The 16,031-nt window shown below is 44.4% G+C and overlaps 1 protein-coding gene and 1 long non-coding RNA gene across 4 annotated transcripts in view, besides 2 other annotated features; one reads left to right on the top strand and one right to left on the bottom strand.

Moving 5' to 3' along the window:
• The window catches only part of MAMDC2 (MAM domain containing 2), a 183,392-nt gene extending 181,744 nt beyond the window's left edge, over positions 1-1,648 (bottom strand). For 2 of the 3 annotated variants that reach the window (NM_153267.5, NM_001347990.2), the window contains exons 1-2: positions 998-1,381; positions 532-645 (exon numbers count right to left, since the gene is read on the bottom strand). In NM_153267.5, the coding sequence (NP_694999.3) occupies positions 532-645; positions 998-1,031 (148 nt within the window). In that variant the 5' untranslated portion in view covers positions 1,032-1,381. Of the gene's footprint in view, positions 1-531; positions 646-997 lie in introns of all 3 variants that reach the window. The other variant, NR_125850.1, reaches the window with a different exon arrangement.
• Positions 1,102-1,396: a silencer, noted in NCBI's record as "tiled region #7941; K562 Repressive non-DNase unmatched - State 20:ReprD". NCBI's record gives its function as "represses a minimal TATA promoter and a strong SV40 promoter by Sharpr-MPRA in K562 cells {active_cell/tissue: K562}" and the evidence as "EXISTENCE:reporter gene assay evidence [ECO:0000049][PMID:27701403]".
• On the top strand, positions 1,188-13,241 carry LOC124902179 (uncharacterized). Its single transcript, XR_007061571.1, has 2 exons — positions 1,188-1,275; positions 11,030-13,241. It is a non-coding gene; the product is annotated as an uncharacterized LOC124902179 (long non-coding RNA).
• Positions 6,402-6,919: an enhancer, noted in NCBI's record as "OCT4-NANOG-H3K27ac-H3K4me1 hESC enhancer chr9:72653226-72653743 (GRCh37/hg19 assembly coordinates)". NCBI's record gives its function as "activates a minimal SCP1, AML or CMV promoter by ChIP-STARR-seq in naive and primed H9 embryonic stem cells {active_cell/tissue: H9 hESC(naive and primed)}" and the evidence as "EXISTENCE:reporter gene assay evidence [ECO:0000049][PMID:30033119]".
• Positions 13,242-16,031: the final 2,790 nt, after the last annotated feature.

Below are 16,031 nucleotides of genomic sequence, written 5' to 3'. Positions count from 1 at the left end.
TACAAACAGGAGTGTGAGGATGAAATCATGCAGCAAAAAACACTGTCAGGGTCAAGGCAGACGTGATGTCTTAGCACTGACGTCCCATCACAGAATTGTGGAACCATTTCTGCAAAGCTGAAGGAGAACTAGTCCCATGCAACTTTTCCCAACTCACAGACATGTCTCCTGAGGACCAGAAAGGTTGCTGGCCTGCAGAGGCACACAGCTGGTGTGCCTGCAGAGGCCCACAGCGGAGAACAATCATTAGCTGTGCTCCGTTTCTCCCTTCCATTAAGGAGTGCTGGGGTGAGACGCAAATTTTAAGCTTCTACCCATAGGCCAGGTAAACAAAGGGCGGCCTCCCGCCCGCCCCGTTCCTGCCTCGGCCATCCCTTGCAGCACAGCTGAGGGCTTGAAGGAGGATCCATGACTCACACTTTTCTTGCCGCGGAGAATTAACTCCAAGATAACATTACCCATGTGGGAAAAAAAAGCAAGCCATCAAGGAAGAAAGTTCACTTCGCGCCCCTCTCCACCGAGCCTCCTTACCTTCCTCATTTAAAATCCACGGCAGAGAGGCCAACACGGAGTCAAAGCCGCAAGTGCTCTCTTCAAAGGCACAGGACCCAGCGGGCAGGTCGAGGGCACCGGCGAGCTGCAGGGCTGCGGGCACAAAGCGAGTTTCAGTTCGAGCTCCACCCAGGAGCCTTTGCACCAACTCGGGGAGCCCCAGGGGGACTACCTGGTGAAAGTGGGGGAAAGACGAGCGGGAGGGGGCGGGAGAGGGATGCAGTACCTGTCCCCCAGCATCCCCGGGCGCCTCCACTGAGCGACCCCACGCCCACCCCCACCCCCACCCCAGGCTTGGCCAGGGGAGGGAGTTAGCGGCTGCGGAGGATCAGGAGGCGCCCTCGGATGGCCCAGCCCAGCACGGTGAGCCGGACCCCCGGGGGCAGCAGGAGCGGGGGCGAGTCGTCAGAGCGCCCCCGGGGTTGTCCCGGGGTCCAGGCCTTACCTTGCAACGCCAGGAGGACGCCCCTTAACAGCATGGTCGCGTTTCAGGGAGGATGACTAGGAAGGGGTGCAAGTTGCCAGCCCGCTGGGACTGGCTGCTCCTAGTGAAAGGGATCGTGGGAGGCGGGGGCGCCGGGGACCCAAGGAGGGAGAAGTCGAGAGGCAAAGCTTGCGCTCTGAGCTGCCCAACTTTGCAGAGCGGCTCCCGGAGCCGAGCGGTATGCTGGAAGGTGCTCGAATGGAGAGCGCCAGCGCCCCGGCGCTGAGCAGCAGCCTCAGGTCAGACCGCGGCCCAGCTGGTCCTGGGCGACGATGGGGCTGGACAGGGAGGAGACAACTGCACACTTTGAAAGGCCAGCCACGACTGGCTGGGAGAGGAGAGGTCGGCCCGCAGTGCCTTCGCTCAGGATTTTAAAGCTTGGGACCAGAGCCCTTGCAGACACTTGGAAGGGGCAGGCCTTCCAGGAGTCCCTCCGCTGGGTTGGGACCCGAGGCTCCCGCCCCGCCCAGCCGCGGTGGGAACTCGCTTATTTCTGGGGACAGCTTCCCTGCATCTGGCATGTCAGTCCCGCAGGGCTGGCCCTAATTTTAACTTCTTCTCCCCAGAATGAAAGAGGGTGGAATTCTCCAAGGACAGCCTGGAGGAAAATTTGGAAACGGTTGGGTGGAATAAGCTTTATATCTAAGGAGTTTCAGCGTTTACGGTCCAGCAATGCTAACCCTGGAATACCACCCCCACTTTTTTTAGCCGGTGGAATGTCTGGCATGCCTGGTGCTCAGCATTCCCTCCGTCCGGTGAAATGGGGGCATTCCTTCTCTCCAAAGAGCCATGATAGATTGATTAATGGGAGGCTTTACACTGGGAGGGGGTTGTTGGGGAGGGAGTTACTTCTGAGGAAGCTGTTTGCTTTGGGCACTAAGTGGGTCTCCAACAATATTCTTTTCTTGTAAAGAGTTCTTCTTCCTCCCCTCCTCTTCCTCCTCCTCCTCCTCCTTTCTCCCATTTATAATTTTGTGCAGGCAATTTTGTGAGGAGGGCAGTGGTTTTAAAACCTGAGGGTGCATCAGAATCTGCTGAAGGGCCTCACCCTCCGTTTCCGATCCAGTAGCTCTGGAGTGGGCCTGAGAGGCTGCACGTCCCTAATAAGTTTCCAGAGGCTGCTGCTGCCGCAGCGGGTTTGGAACAATACTTTGAGGACCACTGGCCTAACAAACTCCAGTTGAGCCATCAGTTCAACCTGCTCCCATGCCTTCACCTGGCTTCCAGACCGCTGGGTTTCCTGGTCTTTCATTGGCCGCCGCTTCTCGGCCTCTTTGCGTTACCTCTGTAACCCCTTAACATGAGAGTGCCTCCAAGTTCTTCCCTGTCACTCCTGTTTCTTTCTCTATCCAGCCCCTCAATGCTGTCCTCAAGTCTCATAGTTTTAGATACCAATGATAGCCTGATAACTCCCACATTTATATTTCTAACCCAGACTACTCACTAACGCCAGACTCTTCGATCTCATTGCCACCTCAACATTTCCAATCGGATGCTTCAGAGCTATTTCATACTTAACAGGTCCCAACATGAAGGCTGCATATTTCTTGCCAAACCTGCCCGTCCCCTGTGTCTTCCTCATCTCAGTAAAAGAACTATTTTCCTCCAGTTGTTCAGGAGAGAAAACTTGGAGGCATCTTCAGCTCATCCGTTCCTGTCAGACATTGCCAATTTCTATCAGCTCAGGATTCAAAACACAGCAGATGCTGACCATGCTCTGTGCCCATGGTGGTGATGCCTTGGTTGGTCCAAGCTGCCCTTGCCATCAACCTGGGATACCGCAGTGGCCTCCTGACCACGGTCTCCCTTCATTTTCTGCCCTGCCCACCCTACTCTATTCTGAACACACTAGTCAGGGTTATCCTTTTAATACAGAAATTGGGCCATGTCACTCCTTAGCTCAAGACCCAACAAGTTCCCAAGTCATTTAGTAAAGTCCAAAGTCTTCACGATGACCAACCAGGCCCTATAGGACCTGCTCCACCCTTTTCTTTCTTTTCTTGCTTTCCTTCTTTTTCTTTTTTTGAGACAGAATCCCACCCTGTCACCAGGCTGGAGTGCGATCTCTGTTCACTGCAAAGTCCACCTCCCAGGTTCAAGCAATTCTCCTGCCTCAGCCTCCCAAGTAGCTGGGATTACAGGCGTGTGACACCACGCCCAGCTAATTTTTGTATTTTTAGTAGAGACAGGGTTTCACCATGTTGGCCAGGATGGTTTCAATCTCTTGACATCATGATCCACCTGCCTCGGACTCCCGAAGTGCTGCGATTACAGGCGTGAGCCACTGCACCCAGCCCCACCCTCTTATTTCTCTGACTTCAATCACCCTGCTTACTCTTCTCTAGCCACACAGACCTCTTGGCTGATCCTCAAACACAGTCCAGCTATCCTTTCAGAATTTTGCACTGGCTGTTCTTTCTGCTCAAAATGCTCTTCCACAAAGAGCCACACAACTCACCGCCTAATGAGGTCTTCACTCAGATGTCACTTTCAGTATTAGAAAATTAGTAACCTTCTCCCTAATAAGGAAAATATATCTGGAATCCTTTTTTAAAGGTAGGAACAAATTTTCATGTGTTTTCTGTAAACAATGATTCAAATGGTCAAAAATTTATTCATTAGTGTGTGCTATTTGGTGTATATGTATCTTTTTTTATTTATATGCTTTGCCTCAGGTAGTAGCTAATAATAACATTTATTGTGTTTACCATTATAAATGTTTTATGTAGATAATCTCATTTAAGCTTCACAAAATCTCTACAGGATAAATATGTTCATTATCCCCATTTAATAGATGGGGAAACTGAGGCACAGAGTTCAGTGACTGTGGACAGTAGAGACAAAACTCAAACCCAGATCTGCTTTATTCCAAAAGCCTATTTTCTCAACCAGTACAGGACTTCTCTCACTTGGGTCTTATATTCTTTTTTTTTTTGACTTCTTGATCACAGATGGTGCTAAATATCTGATGAATTTCATCACACTACTTAACTAAAAATTCAAAGACAGTTATACATTCAGTCGAAACCTCAAAACATTATTTTCAACTAAAGAAGTTTTCAGCAACAATCAAACTGGTGCTCCTTTTTCCAGATACTTAAGGAGTATTTCAAAGTTTTAGAATTGCCTTAGATTCATGTCGTATGTTCTAAGTCATAGGAAAATGAAAAACTTCAAAGCCCTAAAGAGATCCTTCCAAAATTTAAAATATGATTTACAACCTTAACGTGACATTGTGTATTGCCACCTATGGGAACAGAATCATACATAAGTACAAACTCAGACCAAATTTTCTATTTTGCATATAATTGTTTGATCCCAAGAATATATGATCCTTAGACATTGGCACAAGTTAGAATGTCTGGGAAGCAGACTCTGATTTGAAGTTTAATGTGCAGGGTGTTTAATCAGGAGTACCTTGGGATCAGTGCCATGGAAGGGAGGGAGAGGAAGCAGGAAAGGGTGGAGGGAGAATTGGAGTTGCAATGCAAATCCCACAAAGCTTCTTTCAATCCCCCAAGGAACTATGGAGTTAAAATGGCCTATCTAACTTGTCTCATGTTAGGCTGAAATGAAAGGGCATTTGTACTGCTGTCTCCATCTGTCACTGGTTGTGGCCTATGCTGGGACAGAAGTGATCTCCAGTGAGGCAGCTCTCTGCACTGGGGAGGATCAGAAGTTGAAGGCCGATGACAATACTCCAAGCCGCTGGGACTAAAAGTCATTTCTTGAAGGGGGATCTGGACAGCATAAAAATGCCTACCACAGACGTTTTGCAGAGAAAGGAAAAAATATTGTATGTGGCCTAAGTCAGGATGCAGGGAAAAAGACTGAGGAGGGAAGCCAGAGAATCTAGAAACTACGTCAACCAACTTCCTTTGGTCACTAATCATAGCACCCACATGGTACCCTCTTATTACTTGGGAAAACAGGATCAGGTCCCAAGGAACCCAGAATGCTATTCTCCAAGATTTAGCTTAAGCAACTGATCAAATAACACATATCAAGTTCTGGCTTACAGAAAGCACTCAGTACTTAGGTATTGTAATAGGTTGAATGGTGGCTCAAAAGATACATCCGTATCCCAGAATCTGCAAATGTGACCTCATTTGGAAAAAGGGACTTTGCTAATTTAATTAAGTTAGGGATCTTGGGATGAGATCATCCTGTATTACCAGGTGGGCCCTAAATCAATGGCAAGTATCCTTATAAGAGTCAGAAGAAAAGGCACAGACACATGTAGGAAATGGTCACGTAAAGATGGAGATGGCATGTAAAGAGATTGGAGTGATGCAGCCCCAAGCCAAGGAATAACAAATTCTCCCCTAGAGCCCCAGAAGACTGTATTCTGCAGACACCTTGATTTGGGGCTTCTGGCCTCTGAAACTGTGAGTGAATAGCTTTCTGTTCTTTTAAGCCACCCGGTTTGTAGTAATTTGTTCTGGCAACCATAGAAAACTAATATAGAGTGCATTAAGTAAACACATGCCAGGCACTTAACATGCATTATCTCATTTAATCCATGCAATATCCCTATGAGGTGAATATCATTATTGTCCCCATTTTATAGACTAGGAGACAGGACCAGAGGGGGTCAATTAACCTGCTCAAAGTCACACGTCCAGCCAGCATGCAGCAAGGATTTGATCCCAGATGCCCACTTCTCCTGGCTATCCACTATGCTGCCCCTAAATGCTTCCTCCTTACACAGGCCTGTCTCTCCTAATGAGGGCTGCCTACACCACACACAGACACTATGCCCTGCTCTCTCTGTGGGTTCCTGTATGATGCTCACCTCTCACAGAGCCTGCCCATCCTCTCTGCTCTTTGCCAATCTGTTCCTTGCGCCCTCCAGGTACCTTTCACCAGGGGCTCTGCTCCTTGTTGTACCACTTCTAGCCTGGAGATCACCAAGTTCTTGCTTCTAATTTTCTGGGTCAAGGTGAGGAAGATGAAGCATTGCTGCTCCTCTCTATCCAGTGTCTTCCCACATAGCCAGGTGAGGCATTGGGGGGTGTGAGCAAATCTGTGGGAAGAAAGCAAGAAAGCCAGCATTTATGATTGCACCTTTGACTGCACTACAGAGGTTAGCCAATCTCAGAGTCTGTCTTTACTGCCCACTTTCCCTTCTGTTTTCTTTCTCTCCTTGTTAGTCTCACGCAGTGTCATGCCATGATAAGCTCAGCAAACATTTCCTGAGCACCTACTGTGAGCCAGACACTATGCTAGGGGCTGGAAATCCAGGGGTCAAGAAGACACATCCTCTGCTGCTGAGACAGGAGACTGACCCATGAGACAATAATTTCAATAAAATATGTGGATGAGATAGAATTAAGGCTGCAAATATAAAAAGTCTAGAGGCCAAGGAAGTCACGTAAATGAATGGAGTGATCTGGTAACACGGAAGAAATAGGGAGGGATGGAGACTGTGGTTAACTGGAGTAAGTAAGTCCAACTAAAGGGCATTACAGAAACCATCTCTACCCCAACTGCTCATGTTTCAAAAGAAGCCCAATATTCAGATATGTATATAACAACTCCTGATTTTCAGATGCCATTCCATTCCATTCCATTCCATTCCATTCCGTTGCATTCCATTCCATTCCTTTCCATTCCAATCCACTCATGTTGATTCCATTCCATTCTATTGCATTCAAGGCCACTTCATTCCATTCCATTCCAATCCATTCTTTTCGGATCCATTCAGTTTAAATGCATTCCATTCCTTTCCACTCCATTCCATTCCATTCCATTCCATTCCATTCCATTCCATTCCATTCCATTCCATTCCATTCCTCTCGAGTTGATTCCATTCCATTCTATTGCATTCCATTCCATTCCATTCCATTCCATTCCATTCCATTCCATTCCATTCCATTCCATTCCATGCCACTAGAGTTGATTCCATTCCATTCTCTTGCATTCCATTCCATTCCATTCCATTCCATTCCATTCCATTCCATTCCATTCCACTCGAGTTGATTCCATTCCATTCTATTGCATTCCATTCAATTCCATTCCATTCCAAGAAATTAAAACAATATACTCAAATCCCCATGGGGTAGAACAAAATCTATTGGGAGGTTAAATTCAATTCTTGAGCTGAAGTTTGCAGCATTATGATAGAACCACGGAGACAGAGAGTAGGGTGACTCCCTCCTCACTCCTCCAGAGGAGGTAGCCAGGCACACGGGAGCAATGCCATTCTACAGTAGAGCAAATGGAGGCAGAAAAAGTCTAGGTGACTTTTAACCAAGGCTGTATGTCTCTAGGGCAGTGGTGGGATGAGAAGCCATTAATTATCTCACCTCCTAGTTGGCCAGTATTTGGAAACATGGAAAGGACTTTGTATATTCTAGGTCTTGCACAGATGTAAGGTAATTAATAATAAAATTAGTAACATCTTTTGTAGTTATTATACCTTGTTGCATTCTCATTTATCTCATATATATAATCTGTTTTTCTTAATACCTGGGTCTCCTTTAATCTATGCCAAGTCATTGTCTCTGGATTTTTGTCTTTGTTTCTGCCTTTCTCTCTCACTGTCTGATGTACTTTGTATGGGCTCACCTCTATCTCTGTCACTCTACACTGAGTGGTTTTTTTTTTGTTTTGTTTTTGTTTTTGAGACGGAGTCTCGCTCTGTCGCCCAGACTGGAGTGCGGTGGCACAATCTCCGCTCACTGTAAGCTCCGCCTCCCAGGTTGACGCCGCCGTTCTCCTGCCTGAGCCTCCCGCGGAGCTGGGACTACAGGCGCCCGCCACCGCGCCCGGCTAATTTTTTTTTTTTTTTTTTTTTTTTGTAGTTTTAGTAGAGACGGGGTTTCACTGTGGTCTTGATCTCCTGACATCGTGATGCGCCCGCCTCGGCCTCCCAAAGTGCTGGGATTACAGGCGTGAGCCACCGCGCCTGGCCTACACTCAGTGTTTTTAAAAAAATCTTTGACATGTTTATTGGAATTACATTAAATGTGTACATTGATTTATAAAGATTGATATATTTACCTTGGTCCATTGATATAAATTTTTGTGTTTTCCAGTAAACTTTTAAAAATATCTTCATGTGAATTTTACCAACTTTATTCTAATTTTATTCAGAAGAAAAGACCAAATATGCACTCCTGCAGTCAGTGGTCTGTGTTGCTTCCATGTCGTCTCTCTCTCTCTGCATACACCCAACAGGCCCCCACTCATTACACACAATCAGGCTAAAACGAGATGGCAAAATCATTCCAGGCTCTGGGCTTGTCCTGCCAGTGACCTCCGTAGTTGCATTCCAGCAGGAGGTAACTGAAGGCTCTGCCCCGAGGCCAGCGATGGTCCTTGGTTACTGTCCAGCACTGTTGGCCTCTTACTCCCAAAGAGCAGTCATGTGCCTGCTACGGATTTGAATCATCTCCCATGATGCACCAAGACCCAAGGGACAATCAGTCCTTACAAATCTCCTTTTATTACAAAATATATAGCCCACTGTTCAAACTGCCACAGTCAAATGACTGAACCCATAAAGTAGGTACATCTTCTAGAGTGAGCATTTTAAAGGAAATAGATACTTCAATAGATGCTTTCTATCATTAATCTTTTCTTCATCAGCTTACTCCGGATCCTAGCTGGGAGTCAGACATCCTTCATTACAGCTTGAATGCAACCTTCTAATTTTTTTTAAATTGAGGTTTTCTGGGCTGACCAGTCACAGTGATAATACTACCATGTTTTGTTAAGTGTCTGTGATGTGCCAGGTGGTTTCATGGTAAATTCATGGAGGAAGAAACTAGGCTCAGAGATTTGATGTGACTTGCTCAAAAGTACAGGGCTGGGGCGGGAGCCAGCTCAAGCTCCTACCAAAGCCCTTATAACCTCAATGCCATCCACCCAACACAGGGAAGGTGTGAGCAGAACTTTGAAATGTCTGGTTCCCAGGTCCCCGGCCTCCTACCTCTACCCACAGGCAGTGCTGAGGCCAGGAAGACCAGGGGCTTGGAGAGGGGCGTCAAACAGATTCACCCACAGCCCTCAAAAGGAACAATCCCCGACACCAGTGCCACTGATCTTGGTCTTCTGGCCTCCAAAACAGTGAGATAATAAAAATTTCTGTTGTTTAAGCCATCTGGTTTGTGGTACTTAGTTACTACAAACTAATATATTTCTATTCATTTCTCAAGACCCAGTTCAAATGGCCCCTCTCCTATGTTGTTGGTGTGCCTGTGCTGCAGCATGTATGATGCTGTGTCCTAGGCTGTGCAGGCTGCTATAACAACGTATCATACACTGGGTGGCTTATCAACAGCCAAAATGTATTTCTCAATTCTGGTGGCTGGGTGTTGGGTAAGGGCCTGATTCTTCACAGATAACTATTTCCTCACTGTATCCTCACATGGCAGAAGAGGCAAGGGTCTCTCTTGGGCCTCTTTTATAAGGGTGCTAAATCCTATTTATGATGGCTCTGCCCGCATGACCTAATCACCTCCCAAAGGTCCCCACTTCTAATGCCATCGTTTCATGGGTGAGGATTCCAGCATATGAATTTGGGGCAGACATAAACATTCATGCCACAGAACGCTGTATGACAATGACTTTGTCTATGTCTCTGTGTTCTGCGATAGAGACTGAGTTTCAAGGGTAGAAAGCAGAGCAAGTGTGTTTTATCTTTGTATCTGCTCCTGTGCTATCTCTATACATGGCTAATTGTAGTCGCTCAAAAGATGTTTGTTGAAGGAAAGTCTAAGGAATAGCATATCCTCATTGGTCCACATGGCCCAAGAACCAGCCTAAGCTGCAGTCCTATGAGTAGAAGAAAAAGAACTACATTTAAATTACCCAGGGGAATATGTATAAAAATGAAATCACAGGTGTGTTCTGGGAGCACAGAGCCAATCTGAAGAGGAGCAACAGACTGAACAGGGAGTAAAAGCAGGCTTGCGGGGGTCAGGGCAGCACATTTGGCAAACCGGAGAAAGGCAGACTCTCAAAAATCCACTTTCCTGAGAGGCAGATGAGGCCACAGAGAGAGAACTTAACCTCTGGAAGGAAGTGCCAGGCCTTGGATGTTGGAGGGAAATAGAGACTATGAAACAGCTTGGATCCTGCCACCTGAGTCTGTCCCAGCCCAGCTCCATGGTCTCCTATCTGAGTCCAAGAGTAACGCCAGGCTGTTGGGAAAGCCAGAAAAATCTGTTTCCCTAAATCTCTAAAAAAACACTGGGCCACAAATGGCTCTACAACCTGCATTAATAAGGATTGTGACAGTATTAAAATGAAAGCAGGTGAGCAGCAGTGCCATGCCCCGCTTTGCTACCAACAACCATGACTTTGGCATTTCAGAGGTCATTGCAGTGAGAATGGGCAGCATCGTGGCTGTGTCAGAGGTACAGGCTGGTTTGTGTGCACACATGTTCACCCCTAGGACACCCCCCAGATCCCAGGCGCTAACACTCTGTGTTGCCTATTAGGGTTAAGAGTGAGGAAGAGCACACCAGAATTTGACATATTCTAGCTAATGGTGGCTCCAGAGACTAGGGAGGCCCATGAGCAATTTAGGCTAAACCCAGGTGGTATGCTTTCTCCTTTACAAGTTTTGTTTGAGTGCTTTGGCATGGAAACAGGAAAAATAAAGCATTCTGTAGCCAAAAACATTTCCAAGAACAGCAATGAAACCCCAGCTTAGCTTCTGATTCATAATCTCTGACATATTCATCCGTTAGAGTGGGGATCCACACACAGTGATTTGATTGACATGAACACGGATGGGGTGATATTCATAATAAAGGCCTTGGCACTGAGAGACAGAATGGACACCAACTGGGAGGATGACAGATAGTGAATGTCAGCTCTGAACAGGTGTGTGGGGTGTGTGCATGGTGTGCAAAGACACAATAGCATTGAGAAGCTGAGTCACAGGCTTACTGCTAAATCTGGAGGCCTGAAATGCAAACAGGTAGAACACTGGAGACTTAAAAGATGTCAAATGACACTAATTCTTTCCAATTTTCCCAGTACGCAAGGCCCAAACAATTGGTGATAATGAAGAAACTCTACTACCAGACGTTGCGGGATGCCTCAATGACCTAATCCAGTAAATCACAGCTCCAGCTGTCCATGAGCTCTGTCTACCATCTGAGGAATTGTTTCTTTTTAATACAAAGACTGGCACTCATCAGATAATAATTTCTGGGATAGAAGCAAAGTATTGGTATTTCTTTAAGTCTCTTGAAGGTGATTCTACTGAGCTGGGATTAAGAACACACTGCCTTAATCCTTTCATCATCAACAAAATTAAATACTGTTACTATTAACAGAAGGAAAAAAAAGCTGTTTAAAGAGAGTGAGAAAGTGTTATACCAGGAATGGGAGCATGATTTTGTCATTGAGACCATGGCCACTGGAGCAAGACCACCTGGGTTCAACTTGTAGCTCTGCCACTTGCTATCTATGAACCTAGGGCACGTTATTTGGTCTCTCTGTGCCTCAGTTTCCTCATCTGTAAGATGGAAATCATAATAGTCACTACCTCACATGGAGATCATGAGTACTAATTGAGTTTATATTGTTAGAGTGCTCAAAAGAGTGTCTGGCATGCCAAGTACTATATAAATATTTATTATTAATTTTCTAACAACTCAAGTTTTTCACAGGTCCAGGCTTGTAGTTGAAATTGATACACAGTCTATCCACCAAAATAGCCTTTTCTATAGTGTCCTGCCTCAGGGTGGGAGGCACAGAAACTAGAAATGAAAATTGGACAATTAGTAGCATTGGTGTTCTATCAGATTAGAAGAAACATTCATTCATTCATTCATTTATTTACTTGGAGACAGTCTCGCTCTGTGATCCAGGCTGGAGTGCAGTGGTGCAATCCCAGCTCACTGCAACCTCCACTTCCCTGGTTCAAGCGATTCTCGTGCCTCAGCCCCCCGAGTAGCTGGAATTACAGGCACACACCACCTTGCCTGGCTAATTTTTGTATTTTTAGTACAGACAGGGTTTCACCAGGTTGGCAAGGCTGGTCTCAAACTCCTGACCTCAAGTGGTCTGCCTACCTCGGCCTCCCAATGTGCTGGGATTACAGGCATGAGCCACCACACCCATCCAGAAGAAACATTTAACCTATTGAATGCATACTATTATAAATACCAACAACTAGGACATTAAAATAGTAATGGGAAAATAATTTTAGGATTAAAATAGAATTCTTCATTTGATAATACTCGAGGTGGAGCAAACAAAATGGAACGGTGTCTAAGAAGAGGCATCTTACAAGATTACTTTTCTAGAGGCTAAAGGAAATTATCTTGGGCACCGGTTATAGCCTGAGGGGCAAGTCTGTCTGTATCTAATAAAAGTGTCTTCTGAAAAAAGAAACAGAGAGGGAACTTTAAAGTGGAGCATCTTGTTTTATGAACAGCTGGAAGTGCCTACAACTCCTCCCCAAACTGAAAAGATTACTTTTACACTATGCATTTTACAATTTTACGTACACATTTTTAAAACTCTTTTGGGATGTGGAAGGTTTATTTATTCAGCCACCCATAGCAAATTCAAATAGACTCCTGGCTATCTAAAAAGCCACAGCACTCGGAATTTCTCCCATGGTGGTGGGGGATGGGGATGCTCCATGGGGAAATTTGTTCCCTCACCTGTAGGCTTCACTCCAAAACAAGGCAATAGGACTGCAATGACTTCTGTGACTCTAGCCATGGTAATGCCTTGCAGTGGGGGGGTTACATTTTGCATCTCTCTAAGCTTCCATACTGGGCCAGCAATATCACTGAATTCTTCCAAGAGAAAATAGCTCCCCCAAAGGTGGCACCCACAGGAATCTCTGCCAGGTTCCCAAGTCTACTGATTCTTGCATTCCACCCCTTCCCTCAAGGTTCAATTCCTTTATTTTAAAATTATATCCTTTAGAAACTTTTTTTTTAGCAAAGACTTGTGAGAGGTCAATTCTCCTTCTTTTTAAAAACATCAGTCATAAAGGATACTTCTGTTTGATGTAGACTTTTAGATTAAAGTTCTGAGTAAAGATGGTGGATTGAACCACAAATCCAAATTTTGCTTTTCCAGAAATCATATAAAACTACAATGAATATATATTATTTAGAAATGCATGAACCTTTAAGAATATGGGAAATGGGAGAAGAGACAACAACTGACTTCTGGAAGCCGGAAAGAAGATGGGTAAATAAACTAACCCAACATGTCAAAGAAACATTCTAGGCTGACTCAGTTTTATTTTTTTTTCCTAACATAATCTAAACTCCAGGAAATGGTGACACCAGGTAACACTGGAAATGGAATAAAGAGGGTGGCCTAAAATAAGGAGGATTAGAAAAGTTGTTTGAGAATCACCAGCTTTCTAGATTCCCTCAACACCCCACACTCTTGCATGAGTTCTCTTCCCCATCCTAGCAAAAGGATGTTTACTGTCTGGAGAGGGTAAAACAGAGGTACCCTGTACTTTGAGGGCAAAGACTGAGTTAAGAGCAGGAATCCCACACTGAAGCCAGAAGGAATAGAAGGAGTAAATGAATATGTAGACGCTGAAGGCCAAGACCCCTGCGCTAAGTCCTGTTCATCTACTGAGCTTCCACGGTGATTTGGAAAAATGGAAGAGTCATCTCTGGGGGATTTGACCAGCCCAAAAGGAAAAACTTACACATACCAATATTAAGGTTAACCCCAACAAATGACCCAGCCAGATCACCCTCCAATAAAACTCACTCAGATCTTCCAATCAGCTTTTTACTCACCCACAAGTAAACAAGAGCAGACACCTATTATGAGACGGATGAAGAATGCCTCTAACTTATAAAGATCAAGCAAACAAACCACAAACAGATAAAAATGACTCAGAGGGAAATTATGAAGGGAAGAGAAAACTTCAAAATAAAACTATTATTAATATCTTCAAAGAGAGAAGCTATGACACTGAATCCCAGGGATGAGGTCAGAATGCTATTTAAAAAAGAACATTCAGAGAACATAAAAGAGCTCTTAGAAATTAAAAACCTGAGGCCTGGCACAGTGGCTCACACCTGTAATCCCAGCATTTGGGAGGCCAAGGCAGGCGGATTGCTTAAGGCCAGGAGTTTGAGACCAGCCTGGCCAACACAGTGAAACTCATCTCTACCAAAAATACAAAAATTAGCTGGGCATAGTGGTGTGTGCCTGTAGTCCCAGCTACTCAGGAGGCTGAGGCAGGAGGATCGCTTGAGCCTGGGAGGCGGAGGTTGCAGTGAGCCGAGATCATGCCTCTGGACTCTAGCCTGGGTGACAGAGTAAGACCTGTCTAAAAAAAAAGAAAGAAGGAAATAAAGAAAAGGAAGGGAGGAAGGGAGGGAGAGAGGGAGGAAGGGAGGGAAGGGAGGAAGGAGAGACAGAGAGAGAGAGAGAAAGGAAGGAAGGAAAAGAAAAGAAGAAAGGAAAGGAAAGGAAGGAAGGAAAAGAAAAGAAAAACCTGATAGTAGAACACAAACATTCAATAGAAAAGTTGGAAGTTGAGGTTGAACCAACCTCTCAGAAAGTAGAGCAAAAAGCAAAGAGAAGAAAAATAAAAGGAAAAGTTATATAAATGTATGTTTATTTGTGTTTTTATATAGAAAATATAAAACATTATTTTATAAAACATTATATAAATAGTCTAGGAAGATCAATGTCTGGATTATGAGGATTTAAGAAGAGAATAAGGTGAATAAGAAAAAAATAGAAATAATTTAAGGAAATTTTCTGAATTCAGATACATGAATTTCCAGACTGAAAGTCTCACTAAGTTCTCAGAACAATGAATGAAAATAGATTCATAGCAAGGCATATCATTGTGAAATATCAGAACAATGGGAACGAGATGTTAAAAGCTTTATAAGAGCAAAAGTGAGTCACACTCAAAAGCCAGTTACACTTAGAATAATATAAACACTGATCATTGATCTAAGCAAAATTACACTATTACTATATTAAAAGCATGAGGGCCCAAAGCAATCTACAGATTCAATGAAATCTCTATCAAAATACCAATAAGATTCTTTACAGAAATATTAAAAAGTCCAAAAATTCATATGGAACCACAAAAGACCCAGAATACCCAAAGCTATCCTAAGCAAAAAGAACAAAACTAGAGGAATCATATTACCTGACTTCAAATTATGCTACAGACCTGTAGTAACCAAAACAGTATGGTAAGACATAAAAACAGACACATAGACCAATACAGAACCCAGAAACAAATCCACACACTTACAGTGAACTTATTTTCAATATATGTGCCAAACACCTACAATGAATTCGTTTTTGACAAATGTGCCAAGAACATACACTGGGGAAAAGACAGTCTCTTCAACAAATGGTGCTGGGGAAACTGTATATCCATATGCAGAAGAATGAAACCAGACCCCTATCTCTCGCCATATACAAAAATCAAATCAAAATGGATTAAAGACTTAAATCTATGACCTCAAACTATGAAACTACTACAAGAAAACATTGAGGAAAATCTCCATGACATTGTTCTGGGAAAAAATTTATTGAGCCATACCCCACAAGCACAGACAACCAAAGCAAAGTAAATGGGATCACACTGAGTTAAAAAGCTTCTGCACAGCAAGGAAACAATCAACAAAGTGAAGAGACAACCCACAGAATGGGAGAAAATATTTATGAACTACCCATCTGACAAGGGATTAATAACCAGAATATATAAGGAGCTTGAACAACTCTATAGGAAAAAGCCTAATAATCCCAGTTCTAGTGACAGTGAGGGAGTTCTCATGAAAGCCGATGGTTTTAAGTGTGCCACGTCCTCGTTCTTTTGCTCTCTCTCCTGGTGCCTTGTGAAGAAGGTGCTTGCTTCTCCTTCATCTTCTGCCATGATTGTAAGTTTCCTGAGGCCTCCACAGCCATGCAGAACTGTGAGTCAATTAAACTTCTTTTCTTTATAAATTACCCAGTCTCAAGCAGTGCCTTGATAGCAGTGTGAAAACAGACTAATACCCCCCTGGACACA

The sequence above is a fragment of the Homo sapiens genome, chromosome 9 (assembly GCF_000001405.40).
Source record: "Homo sapiens chromosome 9, GRCh38.p14 Primary Assembly".
Lineage (NCBI taxonomy): Eukaryota > Metazoa > Chordata > Mammalia > Primates > Hominidae > Homo > Homo sapiens.
This window is presented reverse-complemented; position numbering and strand designations above follow the sequence as displayed.